This window comes from Homo sapiens, chromosome X, assembly GCF_000001405.40.
Source record: "Homo sapiens chromosome X, GRCh38.p14 Primary Assembly".
Lineage (NCBI taxonomy): Eukaryota > Metazoa > Chordata > Mammalia > Primates > Hominidae > Homo > Homo sapiens.
The window spans coordinates 32,516,363-32,530,286 of NC_000023.11; the positions used below are offsets into that span (position 1 = coordinate 32,516,363).

General features: G+C 36.3%; 1 protein-coding gene across 17 annotated transcripts in view; it reads right to left on the minus strand.

The window, feature by feature from the left end:
- DMD (dystrophin) overlaps positions 1-13,924 on the minus strand; it is a 2,220,167-nt gene that overhangs the window by 1,397,141 nt on the left and 809,102 nt on the right. For all 17 annotated transcript variants that reach the window (XM_006724469.4, NM_000109.4, XM_011545467.2 and 14 more), the window contains 1 exon segment: positions 1,646-1,769. In XM_006724469.4, the coding sequence (XP_006724532.1) occupies positions 1,646-1,769 (124 nt within the window).

The following is a 13,924-nucleotide window of genomic DNA, read 5'->3' on the forward strand; positions in this document are numbered from 1 at the left end:
CAGGTTGATAAAGGGGACTCACAAGGTATCAGAAAACCAGTTATAAAACACTGTACATTTTTGAGCACTTTTAGTCTGTCATGCTCCCGCTATTGATAAAATGCAAATCGTTCATAGGTAACCACATGATAACAGGAACTTTTAAAATTTATATTCCTGAAATACTGAAACTCAATTTTCCTGCCTGATCAAAGCTGTCTTAAGATAAAGAAACAGAGTATCAGACAGAAACCTGTGAGAATCAGATCAATAATCATTTTTAATTAGCTAATAAAATGCTAAAGGTGATTCATACTTTCAGTGGTCAAATATGTAACATGATGTTTGAAAATTAGAGTTTAATGTTCTCTAATTAATTTTCTACTACTAAGAGAATTTCCCTCAAAAATCACAGCAAACAATTTACCTTCAAAGAAGTATACTTGAAAAAAGACATTTAGCTAATTTTCTACAATTATATATTATCTTTCAGTTTTCATATTTCCCATTTCTTGAAACAATTTAGAATAGTCTATTATAATGCTGACAACAGCATGTCTTATAAAGCTAATAAGTAATTTAAAATAGCTTTCCAATTTATAAGTAGTTAACTCTAAGAAGAACTGGTGACAAAATTGTCTTCCCTTTTTCAAGCAGCCTAAAAAATAGATTTTTTTTCCAGAATATATATATATCTTTTGTTGATCTCCAAAAGTTCCAACCCCAACAGCAAACATTAGCTTGTAACTGAGGTAATGTCGTATTTGTAAAAATACAATGGATTTTGAACTTCATGATTTGAATCCTGGAGAGAAAAAGCAGAGCTAATATACACATTTAGATGTGATCTTCCCATGGATAAAATTACTTTTCATTCATAATCACTGCTTCCTTAGCTTGCCCATTTTATTTACTCTGCCTGTTAGAAATTATTTTACAAACTGTTGCCAATCATATACAAAGATGCATGTTTTATAATTGTTGAAGTTGAAAAATTAAAGCCTTGACAATTTCCCTAAAGATGAAACACTTTATATTAAATTAATAAAACTTCCTATTTGTGAAGGTCAAAATTATACCATCTCAGAAGGGAATAACAACAACAAAGCATCTGCTACCACATGTAAATACTGAGAAAGGCTGGACACCTTTTAGATAAGGTAATACACAAATATCTGGGAAATTTAAATATCTTATAATATATGACAGGGATTGATGACTATAAAGAATAACTTTTTGATAACAGTGAGAATATAGACATAGTCCTAAGTATGGTATCTATTATATTATTCTATTCTATTTTACTCTATTCTACTCTACACAATTGTGCAAGCTTGCTAAGGCCTAGCCTTGAGGTAACTGAACAATATATGAAAGGAATCAACATGAATTAATGTCATAAAATTGTTAATTTATAGTTAAATAATATGTAAGTTAAGGCAAGTTTATGAAAGGCATCCCTAGTCAGTCACAGAAGAATCCAGAAAGATTTCTCTAGGCTAAACTTTGATTTTGCTTGCTATCTAAAATATATTTTTAAGACATATTAAACAGCATTTTATCATATCGCATTAATCTATCAACTAGTAGAATCACAGATAACAAAGCACGGAGTTTACAAGCAGCACAAAATGAGTACAGATATAAAAATTAATGCATAACCTACATTGACTTTTTCTTTTAAGTCTGAGAAGTTGCCTTCCTTCCGAAAGATTGCAAATTCAGGACTCTGCAACACAGCTTCTGAGCGAGTAATCCAGCTGTGAAGTTCAGTTATATCAACATCCAACCTAAGACAGCAAAAAATAAAAGTCATTATTTCTTGATTATCTCTTTCTTCTATATTAAAAAAAGCAATTTATCCACATTTATCATTCTTTTCTCAATCTGAGACTCCTGCCTGACACCTCTATTAGTATTAATAGCAGCACTATTTTCCCTGTTAGGTAGACTCAAATTTGGAGTCAGCTTTGATCTAGAGTCTTATGATCACAGAGGTCATTTTATTCACCTCAATGTAAAAATCACTTCTACAATATATCCTGTAAGCTATTACCCAGCCTCTGCTTGAATGTTTCCACTATTTGAAAAAGTACTACTTCCCACGATAACCTTTTCTTTTTGGAAAGTATTTATGAGAAAAAAAAAATTCCTGTTGGTGGTCACCATTGAAACACATGCTTTTCTGTAGTCTCCAATCATACTGCCTCTGGGTTTGGCCACGTGACTTTCTATCACAAATGGGACAATAGTAAGAGTACTGCAAGTAAGGTTTTGAGAAGTGCTTGCATGTCAGAGCTTGACTTTTTAGAGCACACATTCTGAGAAGACAACAATTATATAAGAAGTACAATGACCTTGAGGTGATCATGTTTTAAGGAAACTTGATCTGTCCATGTGAAGAGGCCACATGAAGAAGCATGGGGCACCAGGCATGCAAATAAAGCCCTCTGTGACCCATCTCAATGCCAGCTGAAGACAGACAAATGAGTGCTCCAGTTGATGCCACATAGAGAAAAGAAATACCCAAAGGGCACTGCCTACGTTGAAGAATTAGGAGAAATAATAAATAGGTGCTGTTTTAAGCCACTACATTTTGGTGTGAGTTGTTATGCTGCCATAAATATCAGATCACCTATCCTGTTATTTTCAAACCTTTTTTTTTTTTTTTTTTTTTTTTTTTGGAAGAGATCTTTGGAGCCACCAGGGATAAATTATTCATTCTAATCTGGTGATTTAGGTATAGAAGAGCCAAAATATGGAATCAACCCAAGTGTCTAATGGAATAGTATTAAGCCTTTAAGACTATGAATAGCCTTTCATTTGCAACAACATGTATGAACCCGGAGGAAATTATGTTAAGTGAAATAAGCCAGGTGTAGAAAGACAAATACCACATGATCTCACTTACAAGTGGAATCTAAAAAAAAAAAAAAAAAAAAATCAAACTAAAAGAAACAGAAGACAATGTTCATTTCCAGGAGCTGGTGGGGGTGGAGAGTAGTTGGAAAGATATTGGCAAAAGGATACAAAATTATAAATATTTGAAATCCGCTCTTTAAATTTATCAGTAGATACCTGATCATCAGCCTACCCTATGCTTAATTACTTCAACGGATATTCTATGGCTTGTTGTTATCTTAGTTTCCTTAAATTGGGTACTTAAAGGGAACATATCAGCAGTGTGTAAAATAAACAGGGAAGAATAATTATCTTTCTGGTTTATAATACTTTCATTGATATAGCCCATGATTTCAATAAATATTTTCACTTCAATATTAGACTTTCAACTCACATTGCAATTCAATTGACTTAAAACTTCTAGGAATTTTTTCACATAAACTATCATTAAACCAGTTATATCACAACCTAATTACTATCACAAACATATGACCTGATCTATTGAACTCCAGTTTTGGGACTTTGAATCATATAAACCAGTTAGAATTTCTCACATTTGTTGCAGGCTATTGTTTAAAAATTAAACAGATACAGAAATTAATGGAACACAAAGCCCTTAGAAAAACATATTCGCATTTTATATTCTCACAAAATTCTTTGGTTAGGTATCACCAATTCCAGCTGCCCATAGGATGAGATGGAGCTTCAGAGAAATTAAGTTAATTGACCTCAATACCATGGGTCAGAAACTTGACGGTTCATAGCATACAGATTGAGTTGTTATTTATCGAGGCTATCCAACTTGAAATTAAGAGACTAGGGATCCTGATTCCTCTAAATCCCATGTCACTGAATGTCAGTAAGTTATCTGTGTATGCATTACAAATGTTTATGGATTTTTATTGTGTCATATATGATTTTTATCTTTCCTACATTTTTTATCCACAAGTTTGACTATCAGGTTCCTGTTTCTTCATTCATAATGTTGATTAAAATATACAGTACAATTATATGCTGTAAAAATCTTTCACACTCTCTTCAGCGATGTTAACTCCTTAAATACTCTCCTACTATGGTTATTTGATTACCTACCCAAACCAGTGAATTATATTTCAATCATCTTTTATGCATATTTATCATCATAATGTCTTAAAACATTTTTATTTTTGCTTTGGCCCAACATAAAATTTCCTGTGTCTCTCTATCTGCAAGCATCTATTTGCCAGTATATTGGACAGAGAAGGAGTGCTGGAATGTTAATACTTTAGGGGTGTCCCTTAACCAGTGAGAGCTTGGAATTGGTGAATTTCCCAGCTCCCTTGCCCCTCAGTTGGACAATCCTGAAGTATGATACACAGTGTCTCAAGGGGTTCCCTGCATGATTGAGCCCCAGTTCCTTCCAGCAGTAACCTGATCCCTATATTTGTGCCATACTTTATTGGCTGCTTTATTTTTCTTATTTCACTTCCCTACTTTGTTTCCTGGGATCACTTTCCAAATAAACTGCTTGCACCTAAATCCTTCTCTTCAGATCTACTCTTGGGGCAACCCAAACTAAGGCAATAATCAACAGCCTCAAATGAACCTAGCATCCTGCCATACTTTTTTTTTTTTTTTTTTTTCCCAAGTTGGGCTCTAAGTCTCTACAGGAACTATTAAAACCTTTTATCAAAGCTCTGGCCCATCCTCTTTCTGCAGCTCTCTCAGATGATCTTGTTCCCTACCTTACAGAAACAAGTGCAATTATCAGAGTAGAACTTCTTTCACTTCCTATTTCCAAACACCATCAGACCCGCATATGTAGCCACCGTTCTCATTCCCTTCTTTTACATTTGAGTTTCCCTTCTTTTAATTAAAGTCATTCCCACTACCTACATTTTGAACTTTATTCTCTTACTTTTGCTCAAGCATCTGAGTCCATCCAATTTCTAGTATTTGTTTATTTTGAGACGGAGTCTCACTCTGTCACCAGGCTGGAGTGCAGTGGTGCAATCTGGTCTCACCACAACCTCTGCCTCCCGGGTTCAAGGAATTCCCCTGCCTCAGCCTCCCAAGTAGCTAGGACTACAGTTAACACTGTTGACCATACTATCCGTTTGTAATTTTTCTTCCTTTGGCTTCATGATGCCACTCTATTCTAATTTGCCTTCTATTTCTATGACCATTGGTAATTTTTTCTTTGCAGGTCCATCCTCCTCCACCCTATCATTATGTACTAGATGTCAAGACCTAGTTCATTACCAATCATCTTCTACTCTACTATCTCTCACCAGAAAACACATCAGTCATCATGCCTTGAATTGCAATCTATTTATCAATGATTCTGATATGTATATCTCTAATTCAGGCACTTGTTCTGAATTCCACAGCTATATAACCATCTGCCTATTGGATGTCTCCACTTGCATGCTGCAAAATCTCCTTAAACATTATATGCCAAGGTTTAAAGTTTGATCTTCTCCCTCAAACTAGTACTCTATCAGTATTCCCCAGATCAGTAATTAGCATCACCATCCCTCATATTTGTTATCTTCATCTCCGCTATGGACTGAATTTTGTGCCCCACAAAAGTTCGTATGTTGAAGCCTAATTCCCAATGTGATGATATTAAAAGATGGGGCATTTGGGAGGTAATTAGGTCAAGAGGGTAGAGCCCTCATGAAATGAGTCCCCTTAAAATGATCTGAAGAGATCAGTGTTCTTTTCCACCGTGTGAGGGCACAGTGAGAGAGCACCAAGTATGAACCAGGAAGCCTGCCCTTAAAAGACACTAAATCTGCTAGTTACTTGATATTAAACTTCCCAAACTCCAGAAATGGGAGACATAAATTTCTGTGGTTTATAAGCTACCCAGTTTATGGTATTTTGTTACAGCAAACCAACTAAAACCCTCTCTCTTCCTTCCCATGTTTAATGTATTGCAAAGTCTAATCTGTCACACATACATTCTCTGTCTCCTGAATATGTATGCTTCTTCCTGTCTCCATAGCCAGAACCCAAATCTGTGTTGCCATTAAATGTGACCAAAAATACCGCAATAGCTTTTCACTTGGCCTCTGGGCAGTATTTATGGAACTCTCTCTTTTATGTACTACTGGAAAAATTATCATTTCTATCTTTTTTAATTGACGCATAATAGATGTACTTAGATTGGGGGTACATGTGATAATTTAACATATCCGTATAATTTGTAAAGATCGCATCAGTGTACTTGGGATATCCATAATCTTAAATATTTGTCTATGCTAGATACATTCAAATTATTCTCTTCTAGCTACTTTGAAATATACGGTAGTAAAAACATATCTGATTATGTTACCTTCATTCGTAAAACCACTCAAAGACTTTCTCATTTTTCTTAGAATAAAGAACAAAATTTCAACATGATCCTTTATAATCTGGCCTTCATAGACCTCTTAACTGTATATTCTACTTTGTCTTTTATTCAAGTACTTGTAGAAACAAATTTCGCTTCATATTTTCTAAAGTAATTCAGAGCTATTCTTTATTCTTGTTCCTCCTCCAATGGAATAAAATCCTTCACTGACTCTTCCATAAATATTTTGAAAACTGGGTTGTTAATATAATGCATTTGGGCCACTTTGGTGAAATTTATTTGTCTGACTCAATTATACATCAAATACCCTCTGACTCATAAATATGAGATAGGAATATCCACCAGTCACTTTCAAATTCACGCTTTAAACTTAATCTCTCTAGTCTCACCCTCATTTGATTTAGACTATCTCTAAGAAAGATTGCTCACTTCTACTTAGAGGTCCCTGAAACTCAAACGTGCCTCAAGGTACTAGGCTGGCATGACAGCTGAAAGAAATCTGCTGAAGCCTATGTTGGAGAAAGATTTCTACTAGGCGTTGAATTGACATTGCTCTTGTTTGCACACTGTAGGGGCTCAGAAAACGATACCCCAAAGTATGGCACTTTGGCATGCTGAAACTTTGAACTAAAGAACACTGGAAGGCCTCAAAAGCAGCCTCAAAACCAAGGTCCCTCTGACCTTCTCCTCCCCTCCTGTCTTTAACTCCACATTCTTCCCTGAAGTGAGTCATAGTAACCAGAATTCTTCTTCTTCAAGGTAGGTCATAGAAACCAAAAACCCTCTCCTCCAAAGCCAACCATAAAAGCCAGAATTATAACTCTGTATTTTGCCCACCTTTCTCTCTATTAGCTAGCCATAAAAAATTCTCTGACATACTTTTGTTTGATAGTAGATCATAAGACCCTCATTCAAGTGGGGTCCTACCCCATGTGTAGGAGGAAGGAATTCTACACAGACAGGCCTGGCTGGTTGTCCCTAGTCTATTACTATCAGATCATTCCCTTTTTGTCCAATCACATTCCTACATGGCTGTCTACTCTTTATCAACTCTAAGCATAAAAACAGTTTTCCTTTGGGTCATTGGGTCTTCATTTTTGAAGGCTCCCATGTCACCTAAAACTTTTATTAGATAAATATCTCATGCTTTTCTCTTGTTAACCTATCTTTTGTTATAGGAATGTCTGCTATGACCTGTATAAGGAGGAAGGAAAGGGATCACAGCCTTTCTGCTCCTATAACATGCATGTTGATGTAACTGTTATACCACCACCTCCAATTCACTGCAGAAAAAAGAAACAAAGTTGTTTGTTTTTAGTTTGAAAGTAAATAATTTTCATTCCAAAAGAAATCTTTTTTTTTTTTTTTTTTGAGACGGAGTCTTGCTCTGTCACCCAGCCTGGAGTGCAGTGGCGCGATCTCGGCTCACTGCAAGCTCCGCCTCCCAGGTTCACGCCATTCTCCTGCCTCAGCCTCCCGAGTAGCTGGGACCACAGGCGCCCGCCACCACGCCCGGCTAATTTTTTTTGTATTTTTAGTAGAGATGTGGTTTCACCGTGTTAGCCAGGATGGTCTCGATCTCCTGACCTCTAGATCCGCCCGCCTCGGCCTCCCAAAGTGCTGGGATTACAGGCGTGAGCCACCGCGCCCGGCCCCAGAAGAAATCTTGTAACACTTTTAGAGGTGTATTTTCCTGAAAAAGGCAAAATTGTATGTTTCCTTTTAAAACGGTCAAATGTCTCCTTTTTTTCCCCTTCATAAAGCATATACTAAGTGCTTACTATGTGCCAGACATGCTATTAACTCCATAAAGAACAGAGACGAGAATGCATTAGTCCACATTATCAAGTAATTTGGTTTAGTGAAGCATTTGTTTGACAAGATAAAAATGGTTTAGACACAGAACTGGGGCTCAGCTCACACTGGTCTTTTTAAGAGGATAATCAAAAAACACCTTCTCTGTAAATTAGGATTAAATCAGCTTCTAGCCTAGAGGCTCTGCCAAGTATATTGGTTATCTCCACACAAAGAAGGCTTTGTGGAGTCAACACCATGGTAACTGTCTGTTTGCTTCTCTGTCTGTGAAGATTTTAAGGGAGGCCTGGACACCAGTTGGCACGTAGTTCTGATAATTCAAATCAATTCAAACAACAGGATGTGAAATTCTACAGAAAGGTCTTTCCTCATTCAATTTTTTGTCTGACTTTATAAATTTGGAAAGGGGTCACATACAGTGCGTGAACTTCCCTTTTATACAAAGATCGTATGGAGAGTGATTACGCTCGTTTTTTGATGTACAGATTTTTAAAAAGGCAATTTCAAATTTTACTAGGGCAGTGGTGAGGAGAGCGTTTTGTCTAAGGAAAATAACCTATTCATAAGCACAGAGGTTAATGTTATACTTCTTTTCTAAAATGGAACAAAGAAACATATTAATGAGTTTGGACTCTTCTCACCTGTTGGAGTTCTTCCCTTTCATTTCTATCATTATTGTGATATCTTGATTTCATGGGAAACAGGTGGACACTGAACCCAATTCTTACACAATTCAAGCTCTGAGCTATTCCTAACCTAATCTTAATATTTATTTTATGTTGCTTCCATTTGGACTTCTTCCTTCAAACATCTCTGATTTCCTTGCTAAAACTCTTTTTGTCCACACATAATGTGCAGTCAGCCTACACTCTAATACTTAACATGTACCACCATCTCTTAGAGTTCTGGGAGTTAACTGTCAGCTACTAGCATTGTTTTCTCTCCAATATTCTGCCAGTGGATAGCCTCATCTCTTTATGCCAGCAATGAGGATGGAAGGGTGAAGAGGAAGCAGAGGCAGGGTTTCAAGGCCTCCCATGTACTCTCCCTGAGTGCCAATGGCCTACATCCAACGCTTAGTTTTAGGTTCAGTGACATTTTCAATGCACAATGAACTCAGTCTCCTTCCCGGATCCTACTCAGACCCTGGCTTCCAAGAAGCAATTGCACGTTTATTTTATTCCTTATCAATTTAGCAACTATCGCTTCATCACTTTTTGTGGTTTGTCGTGTAGTTTTCATGTATTTCACTGCTACTAGATATTCCTCAGATATCTTTGCTGAGATGCATGGCAAATGAACAGACACCTCTGATTTAAATGTCTTCATGCTTTAAATTGGGTGCTATCTACTCTTCCCAGTGCTTTGCAGATGGCATTTTCTATCATACTTTGCACTAAGTGAGCCTGGGTATTTAATTACGAACGAAATATATCATTCAGATGCAACTCAGTTACCTTCTTTAAAACCCTCAAGGAAAACACTGAAGACTTATTTTCAATGCCATATTCAACGTTGGATTCTGTACATGTATTTTTGCTTCTTCATAAAATTACTCGTTTCTAATAATTCTTTTTTCCCCACTTTAACAACTCACATAAAACCATTGCTAATGAACTTATGTATCATAAGTTGCTCATAATGTGTCCCTACACCTTTGGAATCAGTCCACTAATATATTCCTTAGTGCTTAACTTACTTTCCTCATATACTTAACTCTGTACTTAACGTACTTCCGAATGTTATCAGACTCTATCCCTTAAATGCAGTCTAACTTTACCTAGCTTAAAATCTCCTTTAGCTAATAAAAAAATAACTTCTCATTCTCTGTTCACAAAATGATTATTTCTATAATTATTGATGAATATTCTGTCCTCTATTCTTCAAGTATATCTTAAAACCTCAATTTGTTATTATTTATGGTTAGCAGTGAAGCGACAATTTTTTTCTCCTTTACAAATATACTCATCAGAAACCCCTGAAATTAAAACTTGTAAAGTCCCATCATACAGGGCAAGTAAGTCTTTGATTTTTTTTTTTCTTGGCAAAAGTGTATTACTACACCAAGACAATTTTTCAAAAAGACCTTCCATTTTTTGGAAGTTTCAAAATATCAAAAGCCTGGGGCATATATACCAAATATTCAGAGAGTGACAATTTTTCTCAGTATTATATTGTACAAACAGACTCAGCCTCATCCAGTTGAATTTCCCATAAAAATGATGTAAATTAGGTTAATTACATCCCATATGGTAAATACTGAGAGATACCTGTGTATATAAATGTTTAAAATAAATTCAAAGGCAAAAACACATACAAACATCTCAAAGAACTAGAGAAATGTTTGCCATTTAAGAAGTTGTCAATTTTGAATTGTCAATAGTAAAACATTACATGAATTAGTGCTATATAACTGTGCTAATTATGTCAGAAGAGCCTCCTGATGGGCACTGTGTTCTGTTAATTTTCTTTACAGTGACTGCCACATAACCTATTAAACTAAGATGACACATTTACATAAATTTTAATTCAGTCACTTTCAATATACAAGTTGCAACTCATCATTCCCAAATGTGTAAACTTTGAGAGTGGAAGTCCTCCAAGCTCCCAGACTTAACTAATTTGATTAGTGAACTAGGTTTATGAATGGCCATTTTACATATTTAAACATCTTAGCATGTAGAATTTCATAAAAACTTATAAGCCTCATCCTTAGAAACCTGAAAGGAAAATGCTGATGCCTGTGAAATACGTTAACCATTGCAGGGTCCCAGGGCTCTAGGCCTAGACCAGATAATTTATGAAACCAATTCTTAATGAACATTTTAATTAGCTAGGAAGCAAGTTTTAACATTAATAGGAACAAAACTATAATTATTCTTTGTTGGTATTAAAGAAGAAATAATTTTGGAGGTAAGATTTTCCAACTTTGCTGTATTTTTAAAAATCACCTTTCTTCTTCAGAGTTTTCCGAAGTGAGAAGACATTTTAATTCCATATTACTATACAGGCACTTTCCTGACCCTAAATCCCCAACCATTTGAAGATGACCTACTATTCATCTTCCAAGGCTCAGTTCAAGATGCACATCATCTGTGAAGGTTTTCTTGATCAACCTCTCTCTACTCTTCCCCTTTCAACTTTCCTTCTGGGAAAACTTGTCCCTCTCTGCTTGTTTCCACATGGCATTTGCTTTAAAAAAAAATCGAGTAATAGAATACAAATTCAATTTGCATCAAATAGATCTTATAAAAATATCAAATGAAATTCAGTATAAATCCTATTAGTTCTAAAAATATTTTTAGGACTTTGAGATGCATTGACTACATGGCAATTATTATATTTTTGGAATTACAGAATATTATTAAAGGGGAAATCCTATTTAACCAAAAGAAAACAAGCTAATATTTAGATAAATAGTTCCCTCTCCAAATCAAGATAGTTTGTATACACACACACAACACATACACGTTTGTATAGTGTAAGTGTGTCTCCCTCTGTGGAAGGGGGGAAGATAGGGCCACATGATTGTCTTGTATTTTGTAATATGTGTGATACGTGTGTGTTTGTGTGTATGTTTAAGTTGCTTTAAATGTAAAGTAAATGTGCATTTAAAAATATACTGAGCTGAGGGCCAGGCGTGGCGGCTCATGCCTGTAATTCCAGCACTTTGAGAGGCCGAGGCGGGCAGTTCACTTGAGGTCAGGAGTTCAGGACCAACCTGGCCACCATGACGAAACCCCGTCTCTACTAAAAATACAAAAATTAGCCAGCTGTGGTGGTGGGCACCTGTAATCCCAGCTACTCGGGAGGCTGAGGCAGGAGAATTGCTTGAACCAGGGAGGCAGAAGTTGCAGTGAGCCAAGATTGTGCCACTACATTCCAGCCTGGGCAACAGAACGAGACTCAGTCTCAAAAAAGAAAAAAAAATAACATAGCTATATATGTGTGTGTAAATCAGGCACCACAGGTTTTAATCCCTAATTTTTATCTTTCTGGTATTTTCTTGGGTAAATTAATTTCTTCGATCTTCAGCGACTTCTTGCTTTAAATTGTAAAAATTTAAAAGCTGTTATCAAACTGGTCCTGAAGTAAAAACATACTGTAAACCAAAAATAAAAGGCTAACTCCCCCTCCAAAGGGACTTCCTCCTCAGCCAGGGCTCTTAAAATTTAACCTGAAAGACTGGTTCAGGCCAAGAAGGGAAGTGGGGGTCAGACATGCCTCATTATACCTCTCTGACACTTACATCAACACAGACTTTAAGTCTGATAAGAAGCACTCTACAGCCTCTTCTCTCTGAAGCCTGCTAGCTAAAAGCTTCATCTACATGATAAAACTTTGGTATCCACAATGTCTTATCTCAACCCAAACATTCCTTTCTATTGATCCCAGGTCTTTAGACAAACTCAACCAATTGTCAACCAGAAAATGTTTAAATTTACCTACAGCCTGGAAGCCCCCACCCCCACCCAGTTGTCCTGCCTTTCTGGACCAAACCAATGTATTTCTTTTTTTTTTTTTTTTTTTTAATTTTATTTTTTTCAGACGGAGTCTCGCTCTGTTGCCCAAGCTGGAGTGCAGTGACACAATCTTGGCTCACTGCAACCTCCGCCTCCCAGGTTCACACCATTCTCCTGCCTCAGCCTCCCGAGTAGCTGGGACTACAGGCGCCTGCCGCCACGTCTGGCTAATTTTTTTTCCCTATTTTTCATAGAGACGGGGTTTCACTGTTTCAGCCAGGATGGTCTCGATCTCCTGACCTTGTGATCCGCCCGACTCAGCCTCCCAAAGTGCTGGGATTACAGGTGTGAGCCACCGCGCCAGGTCAAACCAATGTATTTCTTAAATGTACTTGATTGATGTCTCATGCCTCCCTAAAATGTGTAAAACCAAGCTGCACCCCAACCACCTTGGGCACATGTCGTCAGGACTTCCTGAGGCTGTGTCACAGGCGCGCGAATTCCACCTTGGCAAAAATCAACTTTTTTTTTTTTTTTTTTTTTTTTTTTTTTTTTTTTTGAGACAAAGTCTCATTCTATCACCCAGGCTGGAGTGCAGTGGCACAATCTCACTGCAACCCCCGCCTCCTGGGGACAAGCAATTCTCGTGCCTCAGCCTCCCGAGTACCTAGGATTAGGCAAAATCAACTTTCTAAATTAACTGAGACCTGTCTCAGATTTTCTGGGTCTACAATACAAATGCTTTTTAAAAATTACTTGTAAATATGTTTACTTACCTCTCTAATTAAAGAGGTTTTGACCCAAGATACAAAAACTGAGATCAGCTTTGCTTATATTGTGGCTTTCATATTCCAATTACATTAGTCTATTCATCTAGCAATCAAATTAAATAAAATCTAAAGATGTTATAATTCCCAGTTATAATAAAAAGCCTATAAACTCTTCAGTGGTTTACACAGCACCTGGAACAATGTGACAGATGACAGAGGACTCTGTCTTCAGTTAGTGGAAACTGCTATATTAACATTCCTATCAAAAATCTATTTTTCCTTATATTTGCATGGTCTCAAATGTATTTCTAGTTTTATATGTGTAATTTTAAGCACATCACTCATAAAATAATATGTTTCAGTACAGTAAAATTTAATGATTTCAGATTGCACTGAAAGGCATCTTTAAAAGATACTAAAAAATCAATTTCTGTGGCGTTTACCTTGTCCTAAAATATGCCTATTTAACATGTGCCTCAAAAGCTGAATTCTAGTCCAAGCACAAAATATTGTCCTTAAAATTGTACATCTTCTTTATTATCAATTATGGCATACCGAATTATATACTTAGTATGTTTAAAAATTCTGCTTTTTAAAATACATGCCCTTGCATACAAATTGAATGATTTAATGTTTTAAGCTATTAATGCCAAAAATGT